The sequence below is a fragment of the Homo sapiens genome, chromosome 6, assembly GCF_000001405.40.
Source record: "Homo sapiens chromosome 6, GRCh38.p14 Primary Assembly".
Classification (NCBI taxonomy): Eukaryota; Metazoa; Chordata; class Mammalia; order Primates; family Hominidae; genus Homo; species Homo sapiens.
Window position 1 is genome coordinate 54371026 of NC_000006.12, and position 19425 is coordinate 54390450.

A 19425-nucleotide genomic window follows, 5' to 3' on the forward strand; every position below is an offset into this window, starting at 1 on the left:
GGCAAAGACATTGTAGGAATGTTGTTTTTAAAAGAATTCTTAGAAAGCTATCTTTACATTCCAAAAAAATGTCACTTACGAAAACTGTGTGTGTGTGTGTGTGTGTGTGTGTGTCAGAGAGAGAGAAAGAACTTTTTGACTTGAGGTCAAGTGTAGGACTAGTCTTGATTGTGAAGGAATGCTTTATAGCATAAAGAACGAGGATACTGGGGTCAAGCTTAGATTCAAATGCTAGTTCTGTCCTCGCTGGGTGATCTCAGGCAGGTCGTATGATCTCTCTACATCATGGTTTTCTCATCTATTCCACTGGGATAATAAGTTTCCCTCTGTCTTATTGTGAGGATTAAATGAGATATGTGTCTGCTCCCTTATGCTCACTTTATACTTTCTTTAGTTTTTAAAATTCAAACGTTCTTTAACTTTTTTATTACTCTGAATGTATTTTCAGAATTAAAAAAATAGAATTTAGAATGATTCTAATTATGATATTAATGAGTATTTATCTATAATGTGATATAATTTTACATTTATTTTTAAAATTTATTATTTATTTATTTAATTTTGACCTACCTTACCTTGATTTCACAGGTAGATGAATAAAGGTAGTAAGGAAAAGAGAAATGTAATGACAGGAAGAAACAATTTCTTTGGTAAATGCGATAAAATTTTTTATGATCTTAGATAATGTGATTCTATTTGTTTAAGAAAGACACATAAGTGGTAGGAATTTGGTCATTTACACTTAACCTCTATTGGATTGCATTAAATCACTGTGGTAGAAAACAAAACTTTTTTAGTTGGGAAATACCAAGGACAGATGCAGTGCATGAACAATTGTTCAATTAGGGAAGGTGATTACAGTCAGTTCCTTAAATTTATAGAGATCTGGGAGCAATGGATTATACAAAGTTTGAGATTATGCTTTAGCAGGTTTATAAAATGGCTTTCAAGTCATGTTTTTTTTTTTTTTTTTTTTTTTTTTTGAGATGGAGTTTTACCCTTGTTGCCCAGACTGGAGTACAATGGCATGATCTGGGCTCACTGCAACCTCCGCCTCCTGGGTTCAAGTTATTCTCCTGCCTCAGCCTCCTGAGTAGCTGGGATTGCAGACACCTGCCACCATGTCTGGCTAATTTTTGTATTTTTAATAGAGACGGGGTTTCACCATGTTGGCCAGGCTGATCTCGAACTCCTGACCTCAGGTGATCTGCCTACCTTGGCCTCCCAAAGTGCTGGGATTACAGGTGTGAGCCACTGCGCCCAGCCTCAACTAGTTTTAATGTCTATAGACACTTCAGATTTTGGGATGCCTGTGAAATAAAATGTTATTAGCCCCTGGTACAGTGCTACCTTCCAAAGTTAGCTTAATACTTTTTGGTGATTTTATTTTATAATTGAATACCTCTGTCATAGGTGTTGCTCTCAAATTATCAAATATAATAGAATTCACATAGTGATTTAGAAAGTTTATGTTTGTGAATTTCCAGAGATTTGGGGGTGAAGGGAGAGGACATCAGGGCTAAGCTATAAGGTGGCTTCTGACTTCTGTCAACTGAAATATGGATTGGTTGTCCCATGAAAAAGAGAGCACTTGCTGGGTTATTACTATACATCTGTATATGCATGTGATATGAGATTACCACTGCAGAATCTAGGGTTAGGATTTTATCCGATCCTCCAAGAATATTATATAAATACATACATATATATATATATATATATATATATATATATATATATATATATACACACACACACACATATACATGACAATTCTGATAATGAATGAACCAAGAGTTTTGTTAAAAGGCATATGTTGCTATGGCAATTTGCAATGTCTTCTCTGCACAGAAATATCTAGGATATTACTGATTACTTCAATAAGACCAAAGAGAAAGTCAGCCCAAGTCTGAGCCACAATAAAAAGGAAAGGGCTACAGAAAAAACAAATTTTGCACATGATTAATGAGTACTAGCTGTGGCATTAAGTGACAACTTTGATTTATTTTGATCCTTAAGATAAATGCATTAAATATTACTCTTCTCCATTCCCATCAATGTAACAATTGTGTTCATTACATTTCTTGATATAAATGAGACTTGGATGTGATAAATGCAACCCTGGTTAGAATATTGGTATAATGACCCAACTGTTTCCCCTACCTCCAACCCCACACTTTTCCATTTAATATATCTTGTTCACCATCACTAGTTTGATCTTCCTATGGCTGCCTACAATCCCTCTCTCTTCCAAAACTTTCACGATTTCTCTGTGAATGCATGAAGGCCACCTCCTTACATTATTTGATGCTCTTCTCTCTCAGATACGCATTCATTTCCCCTGGCATCTTCTACAGATTATCGAAGGCCTATTATGCCTTTCCTCTTCACCACAGCTAGAAATGATTCTACTCTTTTTCTGCCTTTTTCTAGTTCTAATTTTTATTGCTTGTGTTATTATCTGCTTCTAAGACACTAGTGATAATTTAGCCACTTAAGCATATAATCTTGAAATGCTATTTAACCTTTTGGGCCTCAGTCCCTTTATCTATGAAATATATAAAATGAATTAGAGTCTGATTGGTTTTGTGGGCCATGGGGTCTTGGCTACTCAATTCTACCATTAGCTGACATGGACGATATGCAAATAAATGAGCACGAATATTCCATAAAATTTTATTAACAAAAACAGGCATCCCAGGCTAGATTTTGCCTGTAAACCATAGCTGGCCAACCCTTATAGTATGCTATAATTTCTGAGTCTCCTTCCAGTGCTAAGATTCTATGAGAAGGCAAAAAGCCATTTCTATTCCTAACATCAAAGGGATAAAGTTTTCCCTTAAAGTTTCTCTTCATAAGATATTACCCTAGTCAATTGTCATTGATCATGATATATGATTTTGGTCTTTGCTCTCTCTTTGCTTAGCACATGTCACATTGTTGTAGATGTATAGATGTTTTAATGCATATTCTGTCAGCATAGTAAATACAGAAGGACAGTTCTCTCAGTTCTACAGCAGGTCATTCTGACCAGAGTATGAACTGGGCACACACATTTATCAATTTTCTCCAAACTTCTTTTCATAGGTCAAATTACATGTGATACTACACTTGTAATCTTCTTGCTTCCTGATACATCAGGATATAAGGAATATGGTAGGCATTGTATAAAGCTGTTTAGATAATTAACGTTAGGTACACAGGATCATGTGTGATATTAATATTTTCATGTGAAAAATGCTATTTCATGAGCCATCATCTGCTCCTCAACCTGTGATAAAATTTGTAGCTTCCTGGCAGAACATATCGATAAAAGTACCTGATCTTAGATATATTGAACCCTAGCTTGATTAATATTTTGCTCAAGTAGAAAATTAAGTGGTGGTAGGGAATGCCCACATTTCATGTTGCTTTCCTGTGGAGTCTGTTTCTATCCATCTTTGATCTAGCATTAATTAGCACTTTTTCATATTCAATAACACTTCATTTACTAGGCATGAGCTTTTCTTAAAAACGAAGTTCCTAAGCATCTCAGGTAGAACATGTATAAGAAAATAAAAGCCTGCATATCTTTTCCTTATTCTTCCTGCAGTTATCTTTCAAATCTTTGTGTAATGGGAACTAAGACTCTATCTGTAGTCTTACCTCTGAAAGCAAAATCCTATATCCAGTGTAGTTGTATCATTGTTATTGACTTGAAGCCCATCTAGTGGTTTCTTTATCCTGATAGCCTATCTGAGTTTCATTTCCTTAATAAGAAGGGTTGGAGTTCCATATCAGGTTATATGATATATTTGCTCCTTGTTTTGCTCCAAAATTTCCTGTTCAAGTAGGGTGTCCTGTATAAAATATCTTTACATGTCCACTGTTTTAAAACTGTTTTTTTTAATCTGTCTGGATCTATATTCACTAATACAGAGTTTGTCTGCCCAGAAAACATGAATTTGAATCCCTGTTATCAGTCTATTGGGTACGTGCAGAGACCCCAGAAATAGCAAATCTTCCAAAATATTGGAACATTTTTGTCTGGGTGATTCTGCTACAGTGTAATATACCTACCATCATAATAAAATAAAACTATTTTTCTTTTTCTTCTAACTCCAGATTCTTAGATGGTTGTGAGACTGGCTTTAAGGAATCCAATCCCTAAGCAAATGTGTTCTTAACACATGAGTTAGGAAATAATTATTCTCATCACAGAAGAATTCCTGTAGAGAAAGATTGCTTCAGAATTTCTTTTGGAAATTAGTTTTTCTTTGTTCTTAGGCTTATTGTTTGTCAGAAACACAGAAAAGCCATTAATTTAAAGGTTTATGTGTAGAGCCATATCAGTAGAGAAAATCCAGAAGAAGGTGAAGCAATTCTGTAACCACTGTCTTAGGCAATGATAAACTAACCGGATAATCAGAAACACATCTCTGTATAATATGAAGTTCACCTCAAGTAGTGCACATTTGATGTACCTATTCATTCAACTTTGAAATGCTGTTGCTAACCTTGACTCTTTCTCATCCCTTTCTTTCCATATAAATTGGCCAACAAATTCCATCACTTTTACCTTCTAAGTAGTTCTCAAACTTGTTCCCTCTCATTTATTCCCTCTGCCAAGGTACTTCAATTCACTGGCTCAACAAATATCTATTTAGGGTCAACTGTGTGAAAGTCATTGCCCTAGATGTTTAGGATACAACTGTTAAAAGAACAAACAACGTTACTTTATGGGTCTTACATTCTTATTCAGAATTTCATTATTTCTTGCTTGAATTGCAACATAAATCTTTTGCTTCTAGCCGGCTCTCACTGGAGACTATACCCGATGCTAACACCAGAGCTGTCTTTCTAAAAGATAATCCGGATCATGTCACATTCCATATTCAAATGGCTCTTTATCACCAACTTTGTAAATGCCACGTCTGGTAACCATCTTGGAGGACTGAGCCACACCTGCCTAACTTCATTCTCCACCACTCCCATCCCTTTTCTTCAGTCACACTGGACTAAGTGCTGCTCCTAGAATAGGCAGAGATGAGGTTTTCATGGCTGTATGACTGCACCTGCTGATTTTGCCATAAATTCTACACTCCCATGTCAAGAAGAAATTTCTACTCAACTCTGAACAAAGTCATCTTTGCCTTTGGCGGAGAGTTAATGTTTTCATGTGTTAACTTGTAGAAATGTTCAAAACATGCTCTTTTTAAAAGTGACACTTACAGAATTCTATCTATTTATATTCTTGTTTTTCATTCCTCAATATCAGTCCCATTAGACTGACAGTTTTTCGAAAGCAAAATATATGTCTTCTTTGGGCTAACCAGTAATTTGTTGAAAAAAAAGTAGAAACTAACAGGTGTAGTATACAAGAGAGATTCTGTGCTTACCTTAAAAGGGATACTTATAGGAATATAAATTTTGCTTTAATAAAGTTTTATTTTCAACCCTCTCTTATTTATGGCATCTAATATGACTTCACTGGGTGTATGGGCCTCATTGACAAAATCTACCAAAACCAAAGAAAAGAAAAAAATATCATTTAAAATCATATGCAAATTATTCTGTTCCAATAATTTTACTATCTAGGCATAACTTAAAATAGGGCTTAGAAAAGTTTAGTGTTTAGCATAGTTATCTAAAAAGAACAATATCCCTTTTAAAAGGAACATGCATGGAAATATTAATAACCTTAGAAGTACAGGATCTTAAATCACTCTTTCATGGGTTTTAATACCTTACTCTGCAGGAACTTTATGGTCTTTCCATAAAGACTTTTCATATATATAAAAAAGTAGTGTTTCTGGAACTCATGAAAAGTGGGCATATAAAATAAATCCTGAAGGAAGAGCTTAAATAATTATGTGCATTGAGTGAGAGACGGAAACCCAGTCTCAATGTAGGGAGACTGAAGGGCTCAGGCAGCACTCATGCATCCTTAGGGAATGTGGTAGATGGGCTAAGAGCTGCCCAGATTTTTTTCAAAACCAGCATATTCCCAGGTATCACTAAATTTTGAGAGAAAAAGTTATTAATGAGTCTTAAAAAATAATTGAAACAATTTAATTTAATGAAGTAGAAACAATTTAAAAGAACCGTATTATGTGGATTTCCTTGAGGAAAAACAAAACAAAACAAAAACCAAATAGCCAGTATTAAGATCTCTCAAGCTTGTGAACCCACTGTGCTCACAAAGGTATAGAAATAACCTCAGTAGGCCAGGTACAGTGGCTCACACCTATAATCCCAGCACTTTGGGAGGCCGAGGCGGGAGTATCACTTGAGGTCAGGAGTTCAAGACCAACCTGGCCAACATGGTGAAACTCCGTCTCTACTAAAAATCCCCAAATCAGCTGAGCACAGTGGCACATGCTTGTAATCCCAGCTACTCGGGAAGCTGAGGCAGGAGAATCGCTGGAACCTGGGAGGCGGAGTTTGCTATGAGCCGATACTGTGTCACTGCACTCCAGCCTGGGCAACAGGGTGAGACTCGGTCTCAGAAATAAATAAATAAATAAATAAGAAATAACTTCAGTAAAGTAAGGTTCTGGTCTGTCTAAACAAATGTTTGTAAATAATCTTCAAATGAAGAGGTATATGTAAAGGGAAATAGAGTACACATAGTTATATTTAGAGCAAATATGAATATAATGAAGATCCTCATATCCTCAGAGACAGTCACTGACTTATAAGAGAACATTTGTGAAAATATATGCATATTTCTAGAATTTTCAACCTGTTGGTATAATAGCAAGTAAAGGAATGGTACCACAATTTAGGAACATACATATATTAGGAAAAAATGCCCTCAAGAAGACAGGAACTCTTTCCTGTAAGTGAATAAAATGAGTAGCCTTCTGGTTTTGCACTAGTTAACCTTTATTTTAGTTTAAATAAAGGTTTTAACCACAGGAATTTGCTATAATATCATCGGGGAAAGAACCCGCAGATCTATTTTTTTTTTACAACATCCCATTGCAACTCTATGAAATATTTGATAACTGTCTTAGAAGCTGTCTAGAGAAGACAGAGGAGAGGAGATAGCTGAAGGTTGCAGTGCAAATGTTAAATCCTGTGATGAATGGACTTTGCTTGTCATTTGACACAGAGGCTGTAACATAGGTGAACTAACTGCACAATAGCTTCTGTGGTGTTATTTTTCCATGTGTGATATTTTCTTTTCATTTGAATTTTGCATAAAGGTTAACACCTTTTGTTAATTTTTTTATACCAGCACCTTAGTCTCTGAAACTATTAGATTCAGTTGCCATACTTTCCTTTTCCTCTGTCACCTCTAGTCAATGACTTGGATAATTGGTTTGGCTGCCCATTTTGAGAAAGCATGTAACAATCCGAATGCTGCTATTCTCTCTGGGTTTAGAATGACTGGTGTTTTAAATGAGCGTCTTAAAATTATATATAATAAACATGTTTCTTGAAAAGAAACTTACAGCAACTCTAAAGAGCTGAAAGATTTGCAAGAATTATTCTTGTCTTTTGCATCATTGAAATTATTTTTTGGAAAATTGTAACAAAATATGTAGAAACATAATGAAAACTGATAGCAGTTGAACAAAAGTAAAAGTAATAGTTCGTATTTCTTAAAAGTTTCCAAGCTAAGGGAGTTTATTTCACTTTTAATTTATTCAGTAATACTAAAATAATAAAAGGTATACACCACATTCTGAAGTGCCTCTTCTCCTTTGTATGACTTTTCTATTTCTTCTTCTTTCCATGCACCATCCTCAATGCACCAAGCTCAAGAAGTCTGAAAGATCTTACAAAGTGGGAAGGCAACCTAGTCTCTATCAGGAATAGGAGAAAGCAAAATTATTCTTCATGTTTTCTCACACCCCAAATCACTTTTTCTTCCCTCACTCTCATGCCAAAGGATCCAAATACATTATATTTTGTGTGTGTGTGTCCCAAGAGCCCTACCATAAACTTGTCATCTTTAGGCAATACCTCCGTGCTGTGGTGCCATCATTCTATTCTGTGCCCTATTAAAAATAGCTTTCTGCAAACTCACCAGGTTGGAAATTTGCATCTCTTCTAGGAATGTTTGTTCTGTAATGACAGACCATAATTTAGCTTAAAGGAGCCCTGCTGTTGGAAGTTTGAATATTAGGTTTAGGTTAATGTGGTAATACACGGGCAGAATTAATTGTGTTCTCATAATTCACCAAATTACATGAAAGTAAGTACACACTACAAGTGGGGCCTATATGTCTGTAAAAGAAAAGCAATATAATGTATTAAGAAGAATGTGAGACTTGGAGCCTTGGCTCAACACTTCCCAGTGTATGATATTGGACAAGTCTCCATTATCTCAGTAAATAAAACAGGTTAATAATACCTACCTCGCTGGATTTAATCATGAAGAAAAATGAAATCGTGTACGTTTAGGTTTTTTATGAGCTGTCATGTGCTACATTCAGAATGGACCAGTAGTGGAAATATAAGCTTCTGTATCCATACATACATGTGTTTACAAAAATTCTACGTTAGGCACAAAGCCACTTTATAAAATAATATGTATATATAAATATTTTTACATAAACTACAAAATTATCTGTGTTTTCATTATGGTTTATAACAGTAGTTCTGGAAATGTTTAGTTTATGCCATTTAAGGTAGAGTGGTAGATTTGTTTGGTAGAGTTTCAAGGGGCTAGACATAAAGAGGATAAGTATTTTAATCAATTTATGACTTTTAATTTCTTCTGTAATATGGTTGTACCTCCTTTTTTAATCTAATTTTTATTTTTCTTTTTTTTTAATATTATACTTCAAGTACTGGGGTACATGTGTAGAACGTGCAGGTTTGTTATATAGGTATACACGTGCCATGGTGGTTTGCTGCACTCATCAACCAGTCATCTACATTAGGTATTTCTCCTAATGCTATCCCTCCCTAGCCCCCGACCCCCAAACAGGCCCCAGTGTGTGATGGTCCCTTCCCTGTGCCCATGTGTTCTCATTGTTCAACTCTCACTTGTGAGTGAGAACATGCAATGTTTGGTTTTCTGTTCTTGTGTTAGTTTGCTGAGAATGGTGGTTTCCAGCTTCATCTATGTCCCTGTAAAGGACATGAACTCACTGTTTTTTATGGCTGCATAGTATTCCATGGTATATATGTGCCACATTTTCTTTCCAGTCTATCATTGATGGGCATTTGGGTTAATTTGAAGTCTTTGAGGATAAGTATTTTTTAAGTCCTTTTAAAAACTTTGTACCCCAGTTGCCTTAGTCTTTCTCTCCTGTGGTCAATGAGTTTGATTTCAAGCCATTTATATATAAATGAGTCTGTTCTGTGCACATAAATAATGTTATGGTAAAGAAGAAAACTATATGAGCACATTTCTGTAGGGCAATGGTGATATTTCCATTGTGAAACAGGATGGGACAGAGAGAAAGCACAAAAGATGTAGGAATGACAATAATCTGCATTCTCTCAAGAAGCAAACCAAACATTTTAACCATACCAATCTTTATTATTGTTATTAATTGTAGATGGGGCACACTGAGAGGAGCACAAGGGCAGAAAGAAAAATTTTGGGTATGTAACTCTTTCCAGTTGAATTCCTGCTGTGAAGTGAATATGTTCAAATCTTCTGTTCCTCTGCTACCTGCTTTGTATTATTTAGTCACATCCTCAGCTGTGTAATATTGTTGATAACATCAGTGTTTTCGCCAGCACAAAACTTATTATAAACATTTATATTGTATTTATAGTTTTCCTCAACTCTCAGTATTTCAAATTGTAAAAGAAAAATCAGTGTTTATTTTTCCCCAAGTTGAGAATCAAGAGGGTAACTTTGTTCTATTATCTTCTATATTAAACTAAAAGTATTGATCAAACTTCCCTCATATATATTTATATGGCAATGAACTTGATGCTTTTGTTATGTTAGTATCATATATATACATATATATGTATATATATCCTATAGGATATAACCTATAGGATATATATATATATTTATATGGCATATATATTTAGATGGCAATGAACTTGATGCTTATGTTAGTATCATATATATATACACATATATGTATATATATCCTATAGGATATAACCGATAGGATATATATGTATATGTAACCTACAGGATATATATACACACATATGTGTATATATATCCTATAGGTTAAGGCTTTTTTTTTTCTTTTTGCCAAATATAACATATGCATGTGTCTTTACTCAGAAAGAACCAATATCTAGTCTCAAAATAACAGAAAGTTTCAGGTAAGAAACAATTTGAAGAAGATTGGAACATATTACCTCAAATATTCGGTTTATTACAACAAGCTGGTCAATTGTCCAAAGTCCTAATATTATATACTTTTTTTATACAGATAGAATAAAGTCTATGTGGTAATACTTACCATGGAATTTAAATTTAAATGTACACAGTAGAGGGCATATTTTGGCTTACAAAGCACTAGGTGCTAGAACTTGTACTCATCAGAATGACTCTTGGTATATTTCTTCATAAGGCACTCACAGAATTCAATCACCCAATTATGTGTTCGTACCTTATATTTGTGTTGTTGATACATGGAGGTATGATGCTTTTAAGTAGAAGGATTCTTCTTTATATTTAAACTGTGCTTTTAAAAATATAATTTTTCTCATTAAAATAAAATAATTAGTAGCCAACAATCAACATTAATGTCCAATAGTTAAAATAAATAAGTTATAAACTAGGATATGTTATTTGAATACCTACTATTAAGTTTCTGCATAGGATTTTTATTAAATAAATTTGAACAGTTTTTTAATCTCATAACGATGTAATATTTAGAGAAAAAATCAAGTTCTTTGATTAATGTATTTAACTCACAACAGTTCTTAGCATATAGCACTTGATGGCCATTTGCTGAGTGAATATGAACGAATGTGCAGAGGAAAATGTTTTGTGATCCTTTCATCCTCAACCTGATCATTCCCACCCTAGATCCCTACCTCTAGGTAGTGTATATGTGTACACACACACACATACACATACGCTGAGTATGATTATCTACTCACTCATTTTCATATATTTAACACATACATGCACACTATCCCTTTTAACTACATTGTTGTACTTACTATCGATTCTGAACTTACTACTTATCAAACATCTTCAAAGAAAATTTTATTTCATGAGGCTAGGGGTAAGATTTCTTTCTGCTATGATTTGTTTGATAAATTGTTGAATGCAAGCAGTAGAAATACAAGAATCAGACTAAAATTTATAATATTTTGCACATTAATTGAGGCTTTTTTCTCTACTGAACTGTGTTCTCCTCATGAGTCAGGATCATATTTGACTTATTTACCAATGTATCTCAAGGGTAAAGTATTTTGATTGGTACATAGTGAGAATATAAACAATACTCATTGAATGAGCAAATGAATAATTTTAGTCTATGCATTCAGGAAAAACTAATCAAGTAATTAAAATAATTTTATTTTTTATAAAACATACTAGTGGTTTAATTAAAATATGAAACTTTAAGTACTGTTGTACTGTTTTGTGAAGAATTGTGAAAGGTCTGAGATATTATCCCACAGATATAGATGATATAGATATTGGTATAGATATAGACCTAACTAGAGATACAACACCTGGGTCAGAAGTAAGGAGTTCTTAACAGATACTCATAAATAGATCGACAACCAGAGTAACATAGCAGCATGCATCTCCCACACCTTAGTCTTACAGTGATGTGATAAGAACCAATAAAATTTGTCTACACAGGTAGCAGTGTATGTCTCATAAATGATGGACAAAGAACAATAGATTTTCTCCATTTGTTTACAGGAGAGAGACAAGCAGATTCCTCCTTTCCCAAAAGGAAGGAAAAATCTTTCATTCCATTATGATGAGTTGAAGAGGAACCTATCTTCTCACCATAAACATTAGGAATATAAACATATCTTTCCAAGGTCCAGCTAGACAGCAAATAAAGTCTCCAGATGATGGGCTGCATTTCTTTTGAGATGTAAATACCAAAGGATATAATGTCCCCACACTTCTGACACCTTAAAGCTTAATTTAGGACCTTGTCTCTGCTCTCTTTGAGCCTCTAGAGGAGATAAGAGAAGTTTTGTTATCCCTTCAGATCAGATCATTAAACTAGATGAATGGCTACATATCTAATTGTCAAGGTATGCGAAGAGTAGAATATTTTTGGGAGAAGTGAAAGAAAACATTCCCTATCTTTATATTATATACAATGTTTTGTGGGTCAGGAAAGCAAAAACTTTATTCAAGAGCACTGAGAAATCTAGGAAAGTTTTATTTCTGCACAATTATATATGGATGTTTCAAAGCATTTACAAATAGTCCTATGATATAAACCTATTTTTATAATAAAAATATTGAAAGTCTTTCACTACTGAGTAAAATGTAATACATAGCAGCAAGCCATAAATTCTACTAAATAAGTAGAAAATAGCAGAATTTTTCCAAAATTGTGTTTTTAAAAAAATGAGAGTGCTAAATCTGGAGAAAAATTTTTGGCCTAGGAGCATTTGGTAGGTTTGGGCATAAAGTGAGGACTGGGTTTGTAATAGGCATGCTATGGTTTGTTTGAGTTAAATTATGAGACAAGTGAAGCAGAAAGATGTGACCAGCAACCAAGGGAAAAATACTATCAATAGAAGCAATAGATGATACTTTAGATGTAGGCTTTAAAATAACCATTATTTTAAAAAATTAAGAAAAATCTAGATGAAAAGATGGAGAATTTCAATCTATAATTAGTTCAACCATTGTGGAAGAGTGTGGCAATTCCTCAAGAATCTAGAACCAGAAATACCATTTGACCCAGCAATCTCATTACTGGGTATATACCCAAAAGATTATAAATCATTCCATTATAAAGACACATGCACACACATGTTTATTGCAGCACTGTTCACAATAGCAAAAACTTGGAACCAACCCATATCCCCATCAATGATAGACTGGATAAAGAAAATGTGGCACATATACACCATAGAATACTACGCATCAATAAAAAAGGATGAGTTTATGTACTTTGCAGGGACATGGATGAAGCTGGAAACCATCATTCTCAGCAAACTAACACAGGAACAGAAAACCAAACACTACATGTTCTCACTCGTAAGTGAGAGTTGAACAATGAGAACACATGGACACAGGGAGGGGAACATCACACACTGGGGCCTGTTCACGGGTGGGGGGCTAGGAGAGGGATAGCATTAGGAGAAATACCTAATGTAGATGATGAGTTGATGGGTGCAGAAAACCACCGTGGCATGTGTATACCTATGTAACAAACCTGCATGTTCTGCACATGTACCCCAGAACTTAAATTATAATAAAAAATGAGTTCCTGAATTCATGAATGCAAACATTGCAAGAAAATCACACTCAAACTTTTCACGATCAAACAGCTGAAGATAAAAAATAGAAATTTAAAAAGTCACTATTTAAAATGACACATTATTCTCAAAAAAAGCAGCACTGACTGACAGCTGGCATTTCAACAACAACAATAAAAAAGGAAAGTAGAAGACTGCAAAATGACATTGCTAAAATGCTGGATAAAATAATAATATTGATAATGATGAAGATAACGTGCCAACATGGAATTTTATACATGGTGACATTTTTCTCCAAAATAAATACAAAATTAAAGCACGTTTGGACAAAAGCTGAAATAACACAATTCCAAAAAAACATACACCAAAAGTTACAGAAAAAAAGTAGGCAAATATTTAAACATATCTCAGTATCTCATAGAAATAGCAGCTAAAAATAAGTAAATGTATGAAAGATTGAAAAAAACTATTAGCCAGCTTTATGTCATTGAAATTCATAGGATATTACACATAAATATTGATGAATATACATTCTCTTTAAGTGCACATGAAATATTTGCCAATATTGACCACATGCTGGTCCATAGGGCATGTTCAATAAATTTAAAAAATTGAAATTGTACAGAATATACCATGATGAAACTTTTGTTATTTAGCTAAAGCACTACTGAATGTAATAGAAAATGCATGCATTGGAAAAGAAGAAAGGTTAAAATTGATTCATGTATTTTTAAAAGGTTGAAAAGAATAATTCAATAAGCTGAAAAATTTAAACCGAAGATAAATGAAAGAAATAATAAACAGAAAAGCAAAAAAAAGTAAAAGAAAACAGACATATTATAATAGATGAAAATCAAAAAAGCAAAGAGTTGATGCTTTGCAAAAAATGATTAAATGTCTAGGAAGACTGAAAAAGAAACAAGGAGAGACAAATTGCCATAGAAATGAAAAAAGAGAACATTGCTGCAGATTCAATAGATATGAAGTAGGTAATAAGAGGATATTATTAAAAAGTTATGCCAGTATAATTGAAAATATAGATGAAATGGATAAATTTATCAGAAAACAAAACTTATCAAAAACCTACACAGGATGAAAATAGCATAAATAGTTATGGAACAATTTGAAAAAAAAAATGAGTCTATTTAAATTACTTTCACAGAGGAATTCAGGCTCAAAAGACTTCACTGGTGAATTTTCCAAACATTTAAGGAATAAATGAAACGAATTTTACAACAAATCCTTTCAGGGAATAGGAAATAAGGAACAGTTACTTCCAAACTCATTTTATGAAGCGGTAACACCAATACCAAAACTTGATAAGACAATACAAAAAAGAAAAAATATAGGCCGATATCTCTCATGAGCATAAAATTCCAAACAAAATATTACAATTAAGAAATATATAAAGGGATAACACTCCATAAGTGAAACTTATGTTAGGAATGCAAGGTTGGTTTCAAGTACTAAAATCAATCAATATAGTTCATCAAATTATAAGAGTCAAGGAGAAAAAAAAACATGATTTTTTTTTTTTTTTTTTTTTTTTTCAGACGGAGTCTCACTCACTCTGTCGTCCAGGCTGGAGTGCAGTGTCGTGATCTTGGCTAACTGCATCCTCTACCTCCCAGGTTCAAGCAGTTCTCCCTACCTCAGTCTCCCGAGTAGCTGGGAATACAGACACCCGCCACCACACCTGGCTAATATTCGTATTTTTGGTAGAGACGGGTTTCGCCATGTCGCCCAGGCTGGTCTCAAACTCCTGACTTCAGGTGATCTGCCCACCTTGGCCTCCCAAAGTGCTGGAATTACAGGCGTGAGCCAGTGAACCCGGCTTGAATATCTTAATTGGTGCAGAAAATGCATTAATAAAATTCAGCACTTACTGTTCTACTGTTGTGTAACAAACTATCACAGATTTAGCAGATTGAAACAACATACATTTATTATCGCAGTGTTTCTGTGGGTCAGAAATCCAGTGTACCGAGCTGGATCCTCTGCTCATGATCTCACAAGGATGCCATCAAAGTGTTGTCTGAGTTGTGTTCCTTTCTGGAGCTTACAGCCCTCTTCCAAGCTCACGTGGTTGTTGGTAGACGTGTTTTTTTGGTTGTGGGTCCAAGCCCCCATTTTCTTGCTGACTGAGGATATTCTCAGATCTTAGAGGATGCCTGAAGTTCCTTCCATGTGGCTCCCTCACACAGAGTTTTACAGATCCTCTCTCAACAGAGTACCTTACATCTTCAAGACCATTAGGAAAAACAAAATTTCTGACTTCTAAATCCTCTTTTAAGGGGCTTCTTGAGCCACATTTGGTCCACGAGCCATGGTTTGCCAATACATAGGTCACAGAAACTTTATATACATATGAAAAAAAAAAACCTAGATCACTTCCTCACTAAATACAGACAAAAACAATTTGAGATGGAGCAGAGACCATGTAATTGCAAAATAATAAAGTTTCTCGAAGAAAACATAGGCAAATATGTTTGTGATATCTATTAGAAAATGCTTTCTTAAATCGGGCACAAAATAAACTTTTTAAGAATAAATTATCAGACTACATTAAAATAAGAACAACTATTTAAAAGACAGTATTATAAGAAAAAGTAAGCCACAGAATGAGAAAAATGTATCTATCTATCTATCTGGAAAGGTATCTGACAAGTCCTCACATATACAATAAATAGACATTCTTACAAATATATAGGAAGACCAAGATAACTCAATAAAATAGAACTCTTAAACAGAAACTTCAAGAAAAGGGGAAATCCAAATGGCCTAAATAGCCATGTGAAAAGATGGTCAATGTTACTAATTATCAAGGAAATGCAAATTAAGACCACAATGAAATATCACTTCATATACACTAGATTAGCTAAAATTAAAAGGATTGATAATATCCAGCATAGATGAGGATTTGGAGTAAATAGAATCTTATACTACTGATGCATGTGTAAATGGAGCCGCTACTTATGTTCATCATGTTTATCACCAGGAGAATGGATAAACTGTGGTATAGTCACACAATGAAAATAAATAGTAATAAGATGAATTAATTGCTTACATATGCCAAACATAGATGAATCCCAGAAACATTATTTTGAGCTAAAAAAAAGTCAACCTCAATATATTTTGCATTATTCCATTTTTGTAAAGATCAATTATAGGAAAACCTGATGGGGAGTGGAGGGTGGATGGACAGGAAGGCAACATGGTAGACCTTCTGGGGTGCTATAAGTGGTTAATAGCTTAATCTAAGTGGAGATTACATGAACATAAACTTCATAAACACATGTATAAATTTACTAAGTTGTATACTTAAGATTAATACACTTTATCTATGTGACTGTATCATATATCTCAATACAAAAGATGAAAAGTTAAATCTTTAGAAATTTTCTCCCCTTCATTGCCACCATTTCCTTTATAATTAAATACAAACAAATGTAGGCATTTGGAAGAAACAAACAAAATAAATGCTGAAATAGAAGAAATGAGAGTAGGAAGAATAAGATTAATAAACAAAATACATGTCCTGAGGTGTATTTTATTAGCACTAATTTTTACAGTGTCTTACTCTTTATAATTATGTGGCCTTTCTTGCAAACATATGATTAGCTCTCATTAGCACATAAATGCACATTTGCTTATACAATCTTTATATACCTTTCCCATATTTACCAAGAATGTAATTATGAAATTTTGGATAGTAATAATCTTCAGCCATCCAAATGAGAATAGGCTCAGTGTTATATATCATATTTGCAAGAATTTACAAATATTACTATTCCTAGCCATTTGTTAGGTTGTGACTAATTTTATTTGATATATAGATACAGATATATGAACTGACTAAAAAAATATGAAAATTGACATTTAGTGTATTTCACTGGTGCTAGAACTCTCACACACATTGACGCTGTTTCCTTCTCAGCTATTCAAAGTCCATTTCATCTTTGAAATGATAAATTGAACTTACAATTTTAAACATAGTTTTGAGAGTGCTCCTTTAAAGTATCAGGGTTGATTAAGGAGGCAAACAGCCAAATCTTAAAAAGAAATGCTGATAAAAATTGGCTATTTCTTAAAGTTGATGTCATGGCAATTTCTGATGCTGAGTCAATCTGCCCCTCTCTTACATTGTAGAAAACAGTGAAAGCTCAATTCGACACCTTATGTCTTGAGAATATTTTCTTAGTCCCAGGGTAGGGTAAATGGGAGGCGAGTGTGAGAGCTGTTGAGGTGAAGCTGCTAATTTATTGGGCTTTTCTGCTGCATTTAGTTGTGGAACTAACTCCCTTCTGTGTGTCCTTTGGCCTTCATGATATTCTCCATGTACTCCATTGATACTTTTGCTCCATCACACACTTATTCGTTCAAGCTTTTAACCCAGGAGTCATTTTGGACTTACTCCAACCATCCAATCCAACCATTTTTGCATTTTAGAAAGAGGAATTAAAAAAAAAACAAAACTAATTCCTGTTGATTTTACTTTCTGAAGATTTCTCAAATACTTTATTTTCTCTTATCCAATTGAATTATTACAGGAGTCTACTAGCTAGTCACTGCCTCTTGTCTGTACCCTCTTAAATCTATCCACTTGATGTCATATAGGATAATGTAATCACAGTATGAATTTGCCCACCTTTCTTTCCTGCTAGAATCAACTCAATGGCATGTCATAATTTTTCCCATTATTTTCTCATTATGGATGTTCTTTCCTCCCCTTCCAGCCTCATAACCTACCATTCTGCTTCTGTCTCGTGATCTAACTATAACAATTTTATTGCTTAATTTCACTGCTTCATACTATTTCATGCTTTGGTGTTTATGCTTTTACTGTTTTCCTTTACGTCAATCTCCCTTCCTCCTTTTACATTGGTGAATTGATTCTCAGGCTTTAATATGCATCTCATGTGACACTTCTTCAACAATGTCTTCGCTGAACCATCCAAGTAAATGAGATGCCCTTTCTCTGACCTCAAAAATACTCTGTACTTATTTTCACCTTAGCACTTGCCTTATGTTGGTCATTCTTCATTAGATTATAAACTTCCTGAACATAAGATAATGTATTATTTATCTTTCGTCTTCCAGCACCTAGCACAGGCTGTTGTTCACATAGTAGACAACTCTATAACTGCAGCTTGCATGCCATCTTCTGATGTGGCATTTCAAACGCTCAGGCCTATGTTACCTTAGTACTCTGGGAAACTCAGAAGAGTCATATCAATTCTGGCTATTGCCATCATTCCTGCATATTAGTGTAGTTGATACATAATACAACCATTATTTAAAAATAGGTAAGTTCTTGATAATTATAGTCTATGATAAATCAAAGGCATTTAAAGTTACAAATGAGTTCTCCATGGCTTTTTTTAAAAAATACCAAAGTATGTTTCTCAACTTTTTTGTTTGTTTGTTTTTCTGCAGATTGCTGCCAATTCCTGGGGAAAGTCATGGGGAGAGAATGGCTATTTCAGGATTCTTCGAGGAGTAAATGAGTCCGACATTGAAAAGTTGATTATCGCAGCTTGGGGCCAACTGACGAGTTCTGATGAACCATAACATATCATTAAATTTCCATAAGGTCATGCCTTTAAGTAACCCCCTAAATTGAAGTTTAGCAATATGACATTCTTGGTGACAGTGGAATCTTTGTCTCTTCACCGTGTTAACATAATCTATCTATTTTCTTATTTTCCCCTCTGGTCTATGCTTCTGCTTCCTTCATATTACTGAGCATTAACAACACCAATAAAGGACAGCAGAGTCCCTAAATGTCTTTAAAGTTCCCAGGTTGCCTTATTTTTCTGTCATGATGGTGTCCCTTTTACCTTTAATTGTTCACAAACAGTGTGATGGCATCTGTTTTCACAGTTCTTAGGACTCATTTGTAGAAATAGTGTGGTTTCTCTCTTTGACCAGTGAGGACCTTAGACAACAAAAAGCAAATTAGAAATTCAGCAATTTGCCATCTTTATAAATTTCTTTTCATCCAAGTTGAACAGTTCCTTAGTTCAAACCTTGCTTATGTTTTGCTTAAGCAGTGGAAATAGATTATAAGTTGTTTATCTCAATAACTTAACATTT

General features: G+C 34.1%; 1 protein-coding gene across 8 annotated transcripts in view; it reads left to right on the forward strand.

Moving 5' to 3' along the window:
* TINAG (tubulointerstitial nephritis antigen) overlaps window positions 1-19117 on the forward strand; it is an 82281-nt gene extending 63164 nt beyond the window's left edge. For 6 of the 8 annotated variants that reach the window (XM_006715062.3, NM_014464.4, XM_011514497.3 and 3 more), the window contains 2 exons: window positions 9501-9546; window positions 18766-19117. In XM_006715062.3, the coding sequence (XP_006715125.1) occupies window positions 9501-9546; window positions 18766-18900 (181 nt within the window). In that variant the 3' untranslated portion in view covers window positions 18901-19117. Of the gene's footprint in view, window positions 1-9500; window positions 9547-14882; window positions 15102-18765 lie in introns of those variants that run through there. The other 2 variants (XM_047418653.1, XM_017010745.2) reach the window with 2 other exon arrangements.
* Window positions 19118-19425: the final 308 nt, after the last annotated feature.